Source organism: Homo sapiens, chromosome 1 (genome assembly GCF_000001405.40).
Source record: "Homo sapiens chromosome 1, GRCh38.p14 Primary Assembly".
In the NCBI taxonomy this organism is placed as follows: Eukaryota; Metazoa; Chordata; class Mammalia; order Primates; family Hominidae; genus Homo; species Homo sapiens.
Window position 1 is genome coordinate 181,168,161 of NC_000001.11, and position 15,937 is coordinate 181,184,097.

The 15,937-nt window shown below is 48.5% G+C and overlaps 1 long non-coding RNA gene across 1 annotated transcript, besides 1 other annotated feature; it reads left to right on the plus strand.

Moving 5' to 3' along the window:
- Positions 1 to 6,323: 6,323 nt before the first annotated feature.
- Positions 6,324 to 14,048, plus strand: LINC01732 (long intergenic non-protein coding RNA 1732). Its single transcript, NR_125966.1, has 3 exons — positions 6,324 to 6,415; positions 7,177 to 7,306; positions 13,729 to 14,048. It is a non-coding gene; the product is annotated as a long intergenic non-protein coding RNA 1732 (long non-coding RNA).
- Positions 13,829 to 14,328: an enhancer, noted in NCBI's record as "H3K4me1 hESC enhancer chr1:181151125-181151624 (GRCh37/hg19 assembly coordinates)". NCBI's record gives its function as "activates a minimal SCP1, AML or CMV promoter by ChIP-STARR-seq in primed H9 embryonic stem cells {active_cell/tissue: H9 hESC(primed)}" and the evidence as "EXISTENCE:reporter gene assay evidence [ECO:0000049][PMID:30033119]".

Consider the following 15,937-nt stretch of genomic DNA (forward strand, 5'->3'; position numbering starts at 1 on the left):
ACGTCTGCTGCTGAATTGATTGCTTGCATGTTGGTGGGGTAAAACCACCGAGTATTTGGTCACAGAAGTCTGTTGTTTTTTGAGACAGAGTCTTGCTCTGTCACCCAGGCTGGAATGCAGTGGTGCAACCTCCGCCTCCTGGATTCAAGCAATTCTCATGCCTCAGTCACCCAAGTTGCTGGGATTACAGGTGTGTACCACCACAGCTGGCTCATTTTTGTATTTTTAATAGAGAAGGGGTTCTTACCATGTTGGCCAGGTTGGTCTCGAACTCCTGGCCTCAAGCTATCTGCTTGGCTTGGCCTCCCAAAGTGCTGGGATTATAAGCTTGAGCCACTGAGCCCGGCCAAAAGTCTTCTGTATTGATGTTGTTGGTGGTGTGAGAGCAGAAGAAACATTGTTCACGTTTGTTCCACTCACCTTGGCTGTTGCCACACACCTTGGAGGATGGCATTGCAATTTTGTGTGCCTCCTTTTAAATGCAGAGCAATGGAAGCTGATAAAATATAAGAAGAGAAAGCCACTGTTTTATGGGGAAGGTCGTTAATATCCTCCCAGGCTTTTAACAGGCCTAAATCTGAGGTGGTACTGGATCAGTTTGTCCCATTTCATGGGGCTGAGGGACAGAGGGGGAAGAATCTTTTTTGGGAGCAGCAGTTTTCCCCTCTGTACTCTGGAAGGAGCATCTTCTTGCAGTTGCTCCAAGTTGCAGACTGGTCTCAGGGTCCTCTCATCTCTAATTGGTGTCCCCCTTGGTTCATCTGTCTGACTGCATGTCCTAGCAAGTCACAGTCCTATCCCAGGCATCAAGGCTGAATTTCAAGGTGTCCTTAAGGTATGTCTTCTGGTCACCCTGTTTATAAATGCAGGCCTTAATTCTCCACTCAGCAGCCTCTACGGCACTCATTAGTAGCTGTGTTTCTTTTTTCAAATATAACCTTTATGGTAGAGTCATAATATGGAAAAGATGCCAGCAGATTGAAATTTTGTAAATCAAATAATTTTGATTGCTCTGGGAGCTCACAATTTAAGGAATCCTGTGGTGAATTCTTTTGTAGACCGAGTAATCAGCCCTCTCTTTGTTTTAAAAATTCAAGTTTTAATATATTATCTTGCCTGAGGGAGATGATTCCACACATATTAAAAATAAAAAAGATGCAAAGAAAAGATCCCATCTTCATGCTCCCCTTCCATATTTAAGTGGCAGTCTGTAATCACAATTATCCGGCTCTCAAGCAATTACACTAAATATTAATGAAAGAACCCTAGTCACACAACTGCGCCCAAGGGAAGCTTCTGCCTGAAAGTCAGGGTTAATGGCCTCACAATCGTTTTAATGGATTTTCAATGAAGTGTGAAGATGACAGGCCAACAAGGGTGAGGTTCCATGACAGAGCACAATTAGCATCTTCCCATTAGTACCTGACCTTGTTTCTATTTTTATTTCTTTACAATCCTGGTGAACTGATTCCCTGAGTATGTATTTATTAGTTTATGTTGAACACAACTCATAAGACCTTTGTTAACTCAGAGTAAGAGCGCCCATCTCCACTGCTTCTGCGGGAGAGGTGTTATAGCTTTGTTCCGTGGGGGGTATTGGTAAAGACCCTCCTGATGATGTTTAGACAGCAAGGCTGATGCCCGCACATTCTAATGACTGACACGCTGCTGCTTTCTACTGGCCCTTTCTAACTCCCTGGCCCCCTTGTGTTCCACCCTTGTGACTCCAACCCCTGAAGAACTCGGCCTGAGACACCCAGCTCCCAGTGCCTGATCCTCTGTTGTTTCTTTGTCCTCTGGAGTAATTGCTAGTGGTTACAAGCTCAGCCCCTGGAATCACATTGATTGGGATGGAATCCTTCCTCTACTAGCTGTGTCTTTTGGCAAGTCACTTGATCGTTTGGTGCCTCAGTTTCCTCAGCTGTAAGATCAGCCTTTAGTGCCTGTGGGCAAGCCAAGGGCCTTCTGTGGAACTCCTCCAGGGTGCCCTGTCTTCCTCCCGCATTTTGAGTCCACGTTCTTAAACCCCAGGAGTTTCCTTGACTCCCCTCTTAGCACTTCTGGGGACTCAGATTTTGCTCCGAATCTCTGGTTCCCTGACTGAGTCCCCTCTTTCAGAAAGGCTGCAGAAACTCTTTTTCCTTGTTTTAAAATTGGTGTTCTAACCTAGGGATTGGCAGACTATGGCCTGCCAACCACATCTAGCCCACAACTTATTGTTATAAATAAAGTTTTATTGGAACAAGCCAGGCTTATTCATTTATGTATTGTCTATGGCTGCTTTCAGGCTGCCACAGCAGAAGTGCGTAGCTGTGACAGAGACAGTGGCTCACAAGTCTAAAATATTACTATCTGGCTTTTTCCAGAAAATGTTTACCAACCCTTTCCTGTGTCCAACCCTTGAAACGTTTACCAACCCTTGAACTGTGTCCCCACAGAAAGATATGTTGAAGTCCTAACCTCCAGTACCTCAGAACGTGACCTTATTTGGAAATAGGGTCTTCACAAAGATAATCAAGTTAAAATAAGTTCATTAGGGTGGGCCTTAATCAATATGAGTAGTGTCCTTATGAAAAGGGGAAATTTAGACACAGAGACAAACGCACACACAGGGAAGATGTTGTGAAGACAACACCCTGTGAAGAGGCAACACCCTGTGAAGAGCGAGGCATCTATGCCTGAGGCTACCAGAAGCCTGTAGGGAGGCCTGGAACAGCTCCTTTCTGAGGGCAACGTGGTCTTAGACTTTAGGCCTCTAGAGCTGTGAGACAATAGATTTCTGTTTTTTTAAGTCACCTGGTATGTGGCAGTTTGTTATGGCAGCCCTAGGAAATGAATGCACTGCCTAACCAATTCTTTTCTTTATTCCTTGTTGTTCTTTTATGTAACACATTTGTATGTTGTGCCAGGTCACTTCAAGGTGGCCCTCATACATGAGGTAATGGTGTCACCACCCAGTGTGTTCATTTTGCCTGCTGCCCAGAAAGAGCTGAAGATCAACACTGGGGAATTGCAATAGAGAAAGAGTTTAATTCACGTAGAGATGGCTAAACAGGAGACCAGAGCTATATTATAACTCAAATCAGCCTCCCCCAAATTTTGGAGGCTAGAGTTTTTCAAGGTTATTTTGGCAGGCAGGGGGAATGGGTGTTGCTGATTGGTTGGGGATGCAATCCTAGGGCTGCGGAAAACAGTCCTTGTGTGTTGAGTCCACCTCTGGGTCGGGGAGCCACAGGCTGGCTGAGTCTTGAGCCACTTGTCCAGGTGGGTAAGTCTGAAAAAGATCTCAAAAGACCAGTCTTAGGTTCTGTGATAGTGCTGTGATCTGCAGAATTAACTGGGGAGGTTGCAAATTTTCTGACCTCTGGAATAATGGCCAGTAATCGTTTATGTCTACACCTCAGCAGCATCTAGTCTCTTCTCATCCTCTTAACCTGGTGGCCTTTCATTCATAGATTTTCATTAGTAAACCACCTTTCATTTCAAAGGCAGTTTAGTTTTGGGGAAGGGCTATTACCATTTAAACTGTAAACTAAATGTCTCCCAAAGGTAGCTTGGCCCATGCCCAGGAATGATGGAGGAAAGTTTGGAGGTTAAAGACAAAATGGGGGTTGGTTAGATCAGATCTCTTTTGCTGTCATAATTTTCTGTTATAATTTTTGCAAAGGCAGTTTCATCAGGGCCACTTGTCAACTCGTTTAACAGGTGACGGAGGCTCAGAGGCTTTGAGGGCCTTGTGCAGGGGCCCCTTGTAGGGCAGCAGTGGGGAGAGAACCAGCAATTCCCGAGGGCCCATTCTGTGCTTTCCTCACATCACTTCGCGGCCCCCACAGCCAGCTGAGGAATTATAGGAAGAATCAGGCAGTTATGACTGGAAAAAGTGTGCTTTCTCTCCTGCCTCACTTCCCTGTCTCTGCGGGCTACTCAGCCACCTGAAGGACTGTCACTGTTGGAACCAGCCTGCACGGGATGTGGAATGTCTAGGGAAGTTGTTTCTTCCAAGGACAATGCTGGCCTCACCAGTGTGTGGCAATAAGAGACAGGATTGCTCTAGAGACTGAAACCACCTTTGCAAAAATCATAACTGAGAAAATTATGACAGTGAAAGATACCAGACATAACTGACCCCATCTTGCTTCTAACCTCTAAACTGTCCTTATTCATTCCTGGGTATAGGCTGAACTAGCTTTGAGAAGGAATTTAGTGTATAGTTTATATAATAGCCCTTCCCAAAAGGCTAAACTGTTCTTGTAAAACAAATGAAAGGCCACCAGCTATGAAGTCAAGATGACAGTGGCTAGAATTCTAACTATTACCAGCCATTATTCCAGAGGTCGTAAGATTTGCAACTTCCCCAGTTACTCTTGAAGGTAACATCACTATTGTGAACCCAAGATCTGCCTTTTGAGATGTCTTTTCAGGTTTTTACATTTCTAACAACTGGATGGCCCCACCTGGACCTGCCAACCAGTTCTGGGGCCCCCACCCAGGAACTGACTCAGCAGAAGAGAACAGCTTTGACTCCCTATGATTTCATCCCCTGGCCAACCAATCAGTACTCCTGATTCACTGGCCCCTGACTCACCAAATTATCCTTAAAAACTCTGATCCCTGAGTTTTCCAGAAGACTGATTTGAGTAATATTAAAACTCTGATCTCCCGCACAGCTGGTTCTGCGTGAATTACTCTTTCTCTGTTGCAATTCCCCTGTCTTGATAAATTGGCTCTGTTTAGGCAGGAGGCAAGGTGAACCCCTTGGGCGGTTAGAGGACCTCTTCTTTGGCCCTGTGGGGTGTGCTGGGGCCTGAGGGGGGACAATGGAAGGGGCCTGGGGGCTGTTCCAGCGTATAAAACCATTGTGAAAGTTGGTGCTTTCCCTGGTTAAGGCTTGGTCTTGGATGCTGTAGGTTCCCCTGACCTCTGGCCCCAGGTGCCCATGCAGTCTAAGGTTCTTGCAGCCATGATCTCTGTTTCTTCCTTGTTCTGCTGTTACAACGATTCTTCCATATCATGGATATTTTGTGAGTTATGACAGTAGTTTGGGGACCACAGGTAGGGACGGTCATCCTGAAAGGGATGATCTCCATTTTATAGAAGAGAAAACTGAGTCTCTGTGGGGGTGAGTCTCACAGCCATCAGGGATGATGGTGGCACTGGGAGTGGCCCTTCTGGCTCTGCAGCTCTTGTGGTCACCCTGGGCTGAGGTGGGGCAGTGTCCATGTGCTTGGCCTCTTTTCCCATCGAACATCATTCAGAATGTGATTCCCATGTGTGGGGTGGGGTGGGGGGAGCGAGAGCCCCAGCATAGACTCCGTGAATGCCCTTCTCCATGCACTGACTATGGAAAGTGCTGGATGCACTGAGTGTCACTAGCTAAGGTAGGGGAGGATGGAGAACTAGAGGGAGAAAAGCCAGGGTGTTTTCTGGGGAAGAGAGGAAGCAGGAGGCAAAAGAACAGAAGAAAAAAGTGTGAAACTGACCTTGAGACATTAACCTATCCCGCTCTCATCCCTGCCTTGTCTCTGTACCCCTCCCCGCAAAGTTGAAGGAGGTGCCACCATCCCGGCCTCAGAGACGCCAGTTCCTGAGACTGCCCAGCCCTGGTTCAGCCTTAGCAAAAAGGTGTAACCAGGGGCTGCAGCTGTCCTGGAACTGTGGGAAAGCCTGGGGTTGGGTGTTGGGGGATCTGAAGCTGGGGTTGAGGAGGAGCTGATAGAAGGACTCTGGGAGGCAAGGTCCCACCTCAGCAGGGTGGGGCAGGTGCCTGGCACGTCATTGTCAAAGGCGTTGGAACCAGAGTGACTCCATCTTGAATAGGGGCTGGGTGAAATGAGGCTGAGAGCTGCTGGGGCAGCATCCCCAGGAGGTTAGGCATTCTCAGTCACAGGATGAGACAGGAGGTCACAAGATGCAGGTCACAAAGACCCCACTGATAAAACAGGATGTGGTAAAGAAGCTGGCCCAAACTTGCCAGAACCAAGATGGTGACAAAAGTGACCTCTGGTTACCCTCACTGCTGATTATATGCTGATTAGAATGCGTTAGCATGCTGAAGACACTCCCATCAGTGCATGACAGTTTACAAATGCCCAGAAGTTACCATGTATGTCTAAAATGGGGAGGAGCTCTCGGTTCCTAGGGAAATCTCTGCCCCATTTCCCAGAAAACTCATGAATAATCCACCTCTTGTTTAGCATATGATCAAGAAATAAAAATAGCCAGTAGCAGCCCTCGGGGCGGTTCTGCCTATGGAGTAGCCACCCTTTTATTCCTTCACTTTTTTTTTTTTTTTGAGACAGTCTCACTCTATTGCCTAGGTTGGAGTGCAGTGGTGTGATCTCGGCTCACTGTGACCTCTGCCTCCTGGGTTTAAGCGATTCTCCTGCCTCAGCCTCCCGAGTAACTGGGACTACAGGTATGAGCCACCATGCCTGGCTAATTTTTGTATTTTTAGTAGAGATGGGTTTTCACCATGTTGGCCAGGCTGGTCTCAAACTCCTGACCTCTGGTGATCCACCTCGGCCTCCCAAAGTGCTGGGATCAGGCGTGAGCTACTGCACCTGGCCTATTCCTTTACTTTTTAAATAAACTTGCTTTCAATTTACTCTGTGAACTTGCCCCAAATTCTTTCTTGTGTGAGCTCCAAGAGCCCTGTCTTAGGGTCTGGATCAGGACTTCTTTCCAGTAACATCCTGACAGTGGTTGGGGAGCAGGGCTGCCCCCTTCCTGCTTGAGGGAGGCTAAATAACAGCCCCCAAATATGTTTATGCCCTAATCCCTGGCACTAGGAGTGTTAACATATATCAAGAGGGACTTTGTCCATGCGGTTAAGGATCTTGAGGTGATTAGCCTGGCTTATCTAAATGGGCCCCAGGTAATCACAAAGGTTCTCATCAGAGGGACCCAGGAGTCAAGAGTCAGAGGAGAAGGCAGGAAGATCCGGGAAGCACAGACTGAAGTGATGCGCTTGCAGAGACTGGAGGGCTGTGCTTTGGAGATGGAGGAGGGGCCAAGGCAGGCCATGGATTGTCTTCCCCACACTTTGGAAGGAACCAGCCCCGCTGATACCTTGATTTTAGCCCCATTAGCCTTATTTTGGACTTCTGACCTCCAGGACTGTAAGAATAATACTGTGTTATTTTAAACCTCTGAGTTTGTGGTGATTTTTTGCGGCAGCTGCAGGAAACAGAAAATGCACTGCCTAGATGGACCCTCTGACTCCCCACCACCCAGGCTGGAGCGGCAGAGGCTGCCAGGAAGAGCCAGAAAACAGGTGAACCCAAGGCCACTCCCTCCCCAGCCTGAGGTAAGCAATTCTGGGAGGTGTGGGGCCGTGTGGGGCCTGCTGAGGCGGTGTGGGGCCTGCTGGACAGCAGCCCTTCCAGGTAGGGTTGGGGTCTTCCCTGTGCCCAAGGCAGGAAGGGATCTAAAGCCCAGCCGCCCCTCCCCTGACCCTCAGGACACTAGCCCCAGTGCAGGGGCCCTCCAGCAGCTGCAGAGCTCCTCTAGCACCTGGTGTGGCACAGCAGCTTCCTTTATCTGATGATAGGTCACTGACCAGCTAATACAGGCCAAGGCTGCTGGGAGGCCAGGAATATGGCCATGAGGAGCACAGCACGATGTTCCCTCTATCACGTGTGCATATTCTAGTGGAGGAAGACTGACAGTAAGTAGGTAAATATATGTACATCAGGTGGTGGCAAGGGCTATGGAAAAAATGAGCAAGAGAGGGGCATAGAAAGTGGTAGGATGGAAGGGAGATAGGGTGGGCAGGGAGGGCCAGATAGAATGCAGTTTGAGCCACTTAGATCTCTGAAGGAAGGAAGAACATTCCAGGGATAGGGACCAGGAGGACACAGGTGCCAGGACAGGAGCATACTGGGCATTTTCAAGGACAGGATGGAACCCAATGTGGCTGGTGTGGAGTGAGAGGTGGGGAAGGGATAGGAGCGGGAATGTGGAGGGAAGATGGCCTGGGGTCCTGTGGGCATTAGCCGGGCTCACAGGGGAGCTCTTGGAGGGTTATGAGCGAGAAGTGAGCTGCTCCGTGCATTCCAAGGATCCCTCTAGGAGACCTGAGATACCTCCTTGCCCTGTTCTGCAGCTGCGCTGGCTGCAAGGTACAGATTTGGCCCTCAGCTAAATTGCAAGGAAGACAGAGGAAGAGAGAGGAAGGTTCCATTCTCCTGTTTCTTGCCCATTTCTCCTCATCAGTGGAACCCTGCCTGTGCATGGTCTTCTTTATTTGCACACAGCTCCCTGCCCTCCCCAATACCTTACCAATGATTTACGCTTTAGTAAAATCAAGGCTATGCATTCCATGACCCCTTCTCCAAAGTGATGAATTATGTCTCCAGAAAAGATATGTTGAAGTCCTAACCCCCAACTACTGCAGAATATGACCTTATTTGGAAATACGGTCATTGTAGATGAATTAGTTAAGATGAAATCACGCTGGAGTAGGATGGGCCCTTAATCCCATATGAATGATGTCCTTTTAAGAAGATAATGTGGGCCGGGTGTGGTGGCTCATGCCTGTAATCCCAGCACTTTGGGAGGCGGGTGGATCACCTGAGGTCAGGAGTTCAAGACCAGCCTGGCCAACATGATGAAACCCCATTTCCACTAAAAATACAAAAATTATCTGAGCGTGGTGATGGGCACCTGTAATCCCAGCTACTCAGGAGGCTGAGGCAAGAGAATCACTTGAACCCAGGAGGCAGAGGTTGCAGTGAGCTGAGATGGCGCCACTGCACTCCAGTCTGGGTGACAGAGTGAAAATCCCTCTCAAAAAAAAAAAAAAAAAAAAAAGCTGATGTGAGATACAAGGGAGGAAGGCCATGTGAATATGGAGGTGGAGGTGGGATTAGGCAGCTGCATGCCAAGAACAAGGCCAAGGATTGCTGGAAACCACTGTGAGCTGGAAGAGGCAGGGAAGGACTCTTCCCCAGAGCCTCCCGAGGGAGCGTGGCCCTGCTGACTCCTGGATTTCAGGCTTCTGGCCTCCAGAATAATGAGAAAATGAATTTCTGTTGCTTTAAGCCACCTGGTTTGTGGTACTTTGTTATGGCAGCCTTGGAAACGAGTCCCAGGGATGTTTCTTAGGGTCTGATTTCTAATCATAAAATTTGAGATTTTATCCCATTCAAAGAAATATCCGAAGTCTTATTAGCCTACTAGTCAGCCTTTACCTGAGGACAAAAGTGCTTTGTTTTGGGGGAATCCTGGGGCTGTATGGGAATTCCAAAGGGCACATTTGGCTCAATGGCCTGGATGTCTTACCTTTGGGAAGCAGGGAGCTGGGAGGAGCCTAGCTGGACCCCTGCCGCTCTGCTGGATGGGTTTGGCTCAGGGTGTGGATATTGGTTAGGTGTGGATACAAAGGCTTGGTCCTTGCTGTGGCAGAGAAGGTTGATAAAGGGGCCTGGGGAAAATTAAATTAGATGCTGAACTTTGCCTTTTATTCATTTGCCTGAAGATTAAGCTGTCCACAGGTTAATCTGCAGGTCCGTTCACAGGCCAGGGACACAAAATGATCAAGACAGAGTCCCCTTCAAACAAACACCACACATGTATGTTCACTGTGGCATCATTCACAATAGCAGAAGGTGCAGACAACCCAAATGTCCCTCAGTGGATGAATGGAGAAACAAAACATGGCACACCCACACAATGGAATGCTCTTCAGCCATAGATGGAATGAAGTACTGCCCCACGCTACAGCATGGACCAACCTCGAAGACATCATGCTGCGTGAAAGAAGTCAGCCAGAAAAGGCCATATACTGTATGATTCCTTTCATGTAATATACCCAGAATAGGCAAAGCCACAGAGACAGAAGGCAGAGTGGTGATTGTCAGGGCTTGGAGGAGGGAGAAATGGGGAGTGGCTGCTTAATGGGTATGGGTTTCCTTTAGGGTGGTGAAAGTGTTCTGGAACTAGGTAGTGGTGATGGTTGTCTAACACTGGGAATGTGCTAAATGTCACTGAATTGTGCAATTGAAAGTGGTAAATTTTATGTAATTTTACTACAATTTTAAAAAAACAACAGAGTGAGAGAAGACAATCAACAGAGAAATAGATATTTAACATATACACTATGAAGACCAAGAAGATGGGCTAAGGAGGCAGAGAGTGATGACGAGGGTGCTATTTTATGGGGTGGTCAAGGCTGGCCTTTCTGAGGAGGATGTGTGGGGAGAGCCAGGCACATGGCTGGGAGGAGACCCTTCCAGGATGTGGAGGAGGAGCAGCAAAGGCCTGGGGCAGAAGTGAGAAGGAGTGCTGGGGAACCAGCAAGAGGCTACCGGGACTGCAGCTGCAGTGGGAGGGGGTGGTGAAGGGATGGGGTGGGGGGGCAGCGGGCAGAAGAGGCCAAGTGCCTGCAACCACTGTCAGGGGTGGGAGCAGAGTAGTGGAGGGAGGGGCGAGTGTGGAAGCAGGAATTCAGCCAGGAGGCCGTTGCAGACAGGGATCTGTTTCTGAAGATCCATCAAGACCGGAGACTAAACACTTGCTTCTTGCTTTGGCTGTGCTGCTATTAATTAGAGCTCTGCAAACGGCCTCTCTCCTGTCCTCAATTCCAGTGCTGCAGAGTCATGATTAAGCAGATCTGTCACTAAGTGAGGATTTTGTTGTGCTTTTTGAATGCAGTGCCTAGGTATGTTCATTTATTTTTCTTTCAAGTTTGTATTGAACGACGTATTATATCTCACATGGTATGTCTCCTGTGCCCCACTGCCTGGGGCTCCCTGTCCCTCTCCACTTGCTTTCTTTTTTCCCATTGCACTTACTTATCACTACCCAACACATTGGACATGCATTTGGCATGCTTGGTTTTATGTGTCAAACTTGGCTAAGCTATAAGATCCAGTTATTTTTTTTTATTTTTTCATTTTTATTTTTGAGATGGAGTCTCGCTTTGTGGCCCAGGCTAGTGTGCAGTGGCGCGATATCGGCTCACTGCAAGCTCTGCCTCCTGGGTTCACGCCATTCTCCTGCCTCAGCCTCCTGAGTAGCTGGGACTACAGGCGCCCGCCACCATGCTTGGCTAATTTTTTTATTTTTTATTTTTTAGTAGAGACGGGGTTTCACTGTGTTAGCCAGGATGGTCTCGATCTCCTGACCTTGTGATCTGCCCGCCTTTGCCTCCCAAAGTGCTGGAATTACAGGTGGGAGCCACCGCGCCCAGGCAAGACCCAGTTATTGAAGCAAACACTAACCTAGTGTTGCTGTGAAGGTATTTTATAGATATGGTAAACAAGATCAGTTGTCTTTAAGTAAAGGAGATTACCCTTGATATCTTGGTGGGCCTCATCTAATCAGTGGAGAGGTTTGAAGAGGAAAACCGACGTTTCCCTATGCAAGAAGAAATTCTGCCCCAAGACTGCAGCATCAGTTCCTGCATGAGTTTCCAGCCTGCTAGCCTGCTCCACAGATCTCAGACTTGCCAGCCTCCACAACTGTATGAGCCAATTCCTGAAATAAATTCCTTTATACATATATGTAATATGTACACATACACACATCTATGTCATCTAGATTTAGAGCTAATCTAGCTCCTCCTGGCTCTGTTTGTCTGGAGAACCCCGACTGATACTGATGTGTTTATTTGCTTATCATCCTCCCTACCCCAGACGGAGGCTCTCTAAGGGGAAGATCTTTTGTCTGTTTCCTTCATGCTGTGTCTGAAGTGACCAGGACAGCAGCCGGCAATAGGACGTGCTCAGTCGATATTGTACAATGGATCTTCATAATTCTTGCTTATTTGTGTGGTTGTTATCTGTCTGAAATTCAAGAAAGAAGGACATGAGAAAAGAAAAGGATGAAAGCACACTGGTCTTATCTGAGGCTGGGGATTTCCCCGTTGGGCCCAGTGTTGTGGATTCTGCAGTTGAGTTGTGTCTGTTTGCAGCTGAAAGAAAGCTGTGGCAGTGAGGAGAGGTTGCAAATTTAGAATCAAGTTCAAGTTCTCCTAGCAACATGCACACCCCCGCTGCTGGCTGGTGTAATCCAAGCACCAAACACGTGCAGCTGGGGCAGTGCGTGTTGCTAGGAGAACAATGACTCTCTTGCTTCCAGAGCTGGTAGGTGACTGCGGTATTACCAGGGGCGCACAAAGTGGGTGTTGCCCTTTGTTTCCCAAGTAATTGTTTTAAAGCAAGGTGAGGAGGAGCCTGGGGAAGGGTAGAATGAGAGAAAGCATGAACCCTGATTTGTGTTTGTTTGTTTAGGAACTAGAGGTTAGTGAAAAGCCTCTTGTTTCAGAATGTGTCCCAAATGGGTTTACAATTAGTGACAGAGTCTGTAGGAGCTTATGAAACAACCAATTCCCCACACTGTTTGGCTCTCAGCATCCACAGACCATCTGGATCAGCTGAGCATGAAGTGTGGGGGCGTGCATTGGGGGTGGGGTCCAGAAACAAAAAAGATCAAGCTGGCATCGGTTGGGGCGGGAGAGGGATTTGGGTTTTCAGATTTCCTTTCGCTTAATTACATTCGCAGGCTGTCCTGATCCTCATTCCCCTTCCCCATTGTTTCTGCCCTGTCAGCGGGGTTGACTGGCTGAAAACAGACCACCCGGGCAGCCAGAAGAACTGTGCCTGTCCCGGCAGCCCTGACTCTGGACAGGTGGTGTGGGGTGGTGTGAGGTGGTTGGGGGACGGGAGAACAGGGAAGCAGGGCCAAGGACAGTAATATCCCTGGCCACTCTTCATATATGTAGTCACCAATGCTCAAAGTCCTCCATGCCCCCACTTCCATCCTGCAAAGGAGGAAGCTGAGCTGCCAAGGAGTGGCAGAGCTGAGAGCAGCACCAGCTCCGTCTCTCCCGAAGACCACCTTCTTTCTCCCATGTCTGCCTGCAGGATTTGATGATGAGACATCGTCTGCTACAGGATTTGCAGGGAAACATGGAGTATCACTTTGGGCCTATTTTCTAAGAGAATGGCCTGAAGAGAATAGATTCAAGTTTTCTCCCAGAAAAGCCTCTGCTTCAGGAGCAGGTAGCAGAAAAAATACAATATGTTCATCAAACAGGTTTGATTCCCCTCCTGGACACATGGAAAGGCTATCTTTTTTTTTTTTTTTTTTTTTTTTTTTTTTTTTTTTAAGACGGAGGCTCGCTCAGCCACTCAGGCTGGAGTACAGTGGCATGATCTCAGCTCACTGCACCCACTGTCTCCTGGGTTCAAGCGATTCTCCCGTCTCAGCCTCCCAGGTAGCTGGGATTATAGGCACCTGCCATCATGCCTGGCTAATTTTTGTATTTTAGTAGAGACAGGGTTTCACCATGTTGGCCAGGCTTGTCTTAAACTCCTGAACTCTGCCCGCCTTGGCCTCCCAAAGTGCTAGGATTACAGGCGTGAGCCACTGCACCCGGCTGGAAAGGCTATCTTTCTGAGCTTCCACTACTGTAAGGTGGAGTCATAGTGTTAGAGTAGGTAGCTAAGCAGACATGAGCAGGACAGGAGAGGACTCCCCACCCCCCCCCCGCCCACAGGAATGTCAGGCAACCATCAGGTGATGGTCAGGCAGTTGTTAACTGTCAGTCTAAAATAATAATAGGGCATAGCTGGCACCAAGGAAAGGAAGACTCCTAATAGAAAACACCTGAAGCTGGTGAGCAGCCGCTTCCTGGTAAGATCTCAGGAGCTGGGCAAGTGGGCTCTAGCCTGGGCACTAAGAGGCAAAATGACAGAGTTTAACCTGTATATGACCTTCCTCTAGGAACACTCTACTGGTAAGGGGAGAAATGCCTCAAATGAGCATGTGCACAACTTCAGTAAACATGCTGTGCATGTGGCCCCTCCCAAGTGCCCGCAGGCCACCACACAAGTGGACAGCCCTGGACAGCCCGCCCCTAGGGAAGAATCAAGGGAGGAGAAACAGAAGCCCTGGAACTGTGCTAGCATATAAAACCCCAAGTCAAGGGCTGAATGGCACACTTGGATCTCTCAAGTCACCTGCTTGGCCCCCTTCCAAGTGTATTTACTTCCATTTGTTCCTGCTCTAAAACTTTTTAATAAACTTTCACTCCTGCTCTAAAACTTGCCTCGGTCTCTCCCTCTGCCTTAAAACTACTTCTGCCCCCGCAGCCGAATTCTTTCCTCTGAGAGGGCAAGAATCAAGTTGCTGCGCACCCCTGCAGATTCACTGCTGCTAACAATGGGGCTGGTTTTCTGGCCTGTGGAACGTGGGCTAAAGGGATGAGCAGCCCTGCCTGGCTCGGTCCTAAAACCTGCCATACCATCCTCCCCCTGTTTTCTTCCCGTCTGCTTGTTGGATGCAGGGGACCCAGGGTGGTACTCCAAGGCCCTGAAAGACAGTGGAGCTACTTGGGAGGAGCCCAGGTCCCGAATGCCTTAGTGGAGCAGAATGTCTGCTACACTCAACTCGTATTGGACTCTGAAGGCAAAACTCACCTTTGTTGTGTTGAGCCACTAAGTTTTGGGGGACATCTGAAACAGGCTGTGCTGATTAATACGGAGCGGCCAGGAGGGCATGGGAAATGATCAGTTTTGTGGGCTGGGGGAGAGGCAGTGGGATTTGGTGGAAGTGTTTCCATGAGGGGGCAGAGAAGAGCCTCCTGGAGATAGAAAGGTGAAGTGGAAAGTGCTATCCTAAATTGAGAAAAGGGAGCCAGTGTGTGTGCACCCTCTTATATTTGTAAATTAGAGTTAACACTTCTGGTGGGGCCCTCTGTAAACTGTAAATACGGATAATAATGAAGGTTTGTATTGCATACACACTTTTCTAAGTGCTTCAGATGGATGATCTCATTTAACCTTCATAACATCCCGGTGAGGTAGGAACTATTAATATCAGCCTCATTTTAGAGGTGAGAAAACAGAGATGAAGCACTTTCCCCACCACCACCAGAAAGTAAGTGGCACAGCCAGGATGGAGTTGAGGTATCCAGGCTCTTGAACCTGCCTCTTAACCATGATGTCTCTCTCTCTATGGACTGCACACTAACACCTTTCTAATCAGGATGAAGAATTCTGCTGTTATACCTGGTGGTCTGAAATAAAGCAGAAATTTGGCTGGCTCAAGTGTTCCAGGTTGCTCAAGAAGCCATGCAATTCAATCCTCTCTGAAACGGTGCTGTATATTCCTGGAAGCATCCTAGAGGGAACAGGGAGCGCTGGGCTGATGGGGGAAAATGAGGGTCGAGAATGGGAGAGGCCAGCCTGCATTATTTGTAGGCTCAGAGGAAGGGTCCTGAGTGGAGGACTAAAGGAGCCACTGTGGCTAGACCGGTGCTCTTCTGACCCTGGTGCCACCCAGGAGTGCGTCTCACTGCTGGGGCTGGCCAGCCCTGGCACATCTGGCGAAAGGACTGTTGGTGGGAAGAGACCTCAGCCACCCTCTCTAGACTGTGTCCTAAGAAGGAGGATGGGTCCGAAGGTGGGAAACGTATCCTATACATCTTTTTTTTTGAGATGGAGTTTCGCTCTTCTTGCCCAGGATGGAGTGCAATGGCATGATCTTGGCTCACTGCAACCTCCGCTTCCCGGGTTCAAGCGATTCTCCTGCCTCGGCCTCTCAAGTAGCTGGGATTGCAGGTGTGCACGAGCACACCCAGCTAGTTTTTGTATTTTTAGTAGAGATGAGATTTCACCATGTTGGCCAGGCTGGTCTCAAACTCCTGACCTCAGGTGATCCATCCACCTTGGCCTCCCAAAGTGCCGGGATTACAGGTGTAAGCCACCACACCCGGCCTCCTATACATCTTTGTATCTTATACAAGAGAGGTTTGAATCCGCAAAGCAAATCCTTAGCAAGGGCCTACTATGTTCCAGGAGATGTACTAGATACTGTGATAGTGAACCATGGCACGGCCCCTTCCTCATGGAGCTTTCAGTCTAGAATCTTCATCGGAGGAGGAGCTGAAGGTCATAGGCACTATAGGGGTGGGGCTGGGATGGCAAAAGGG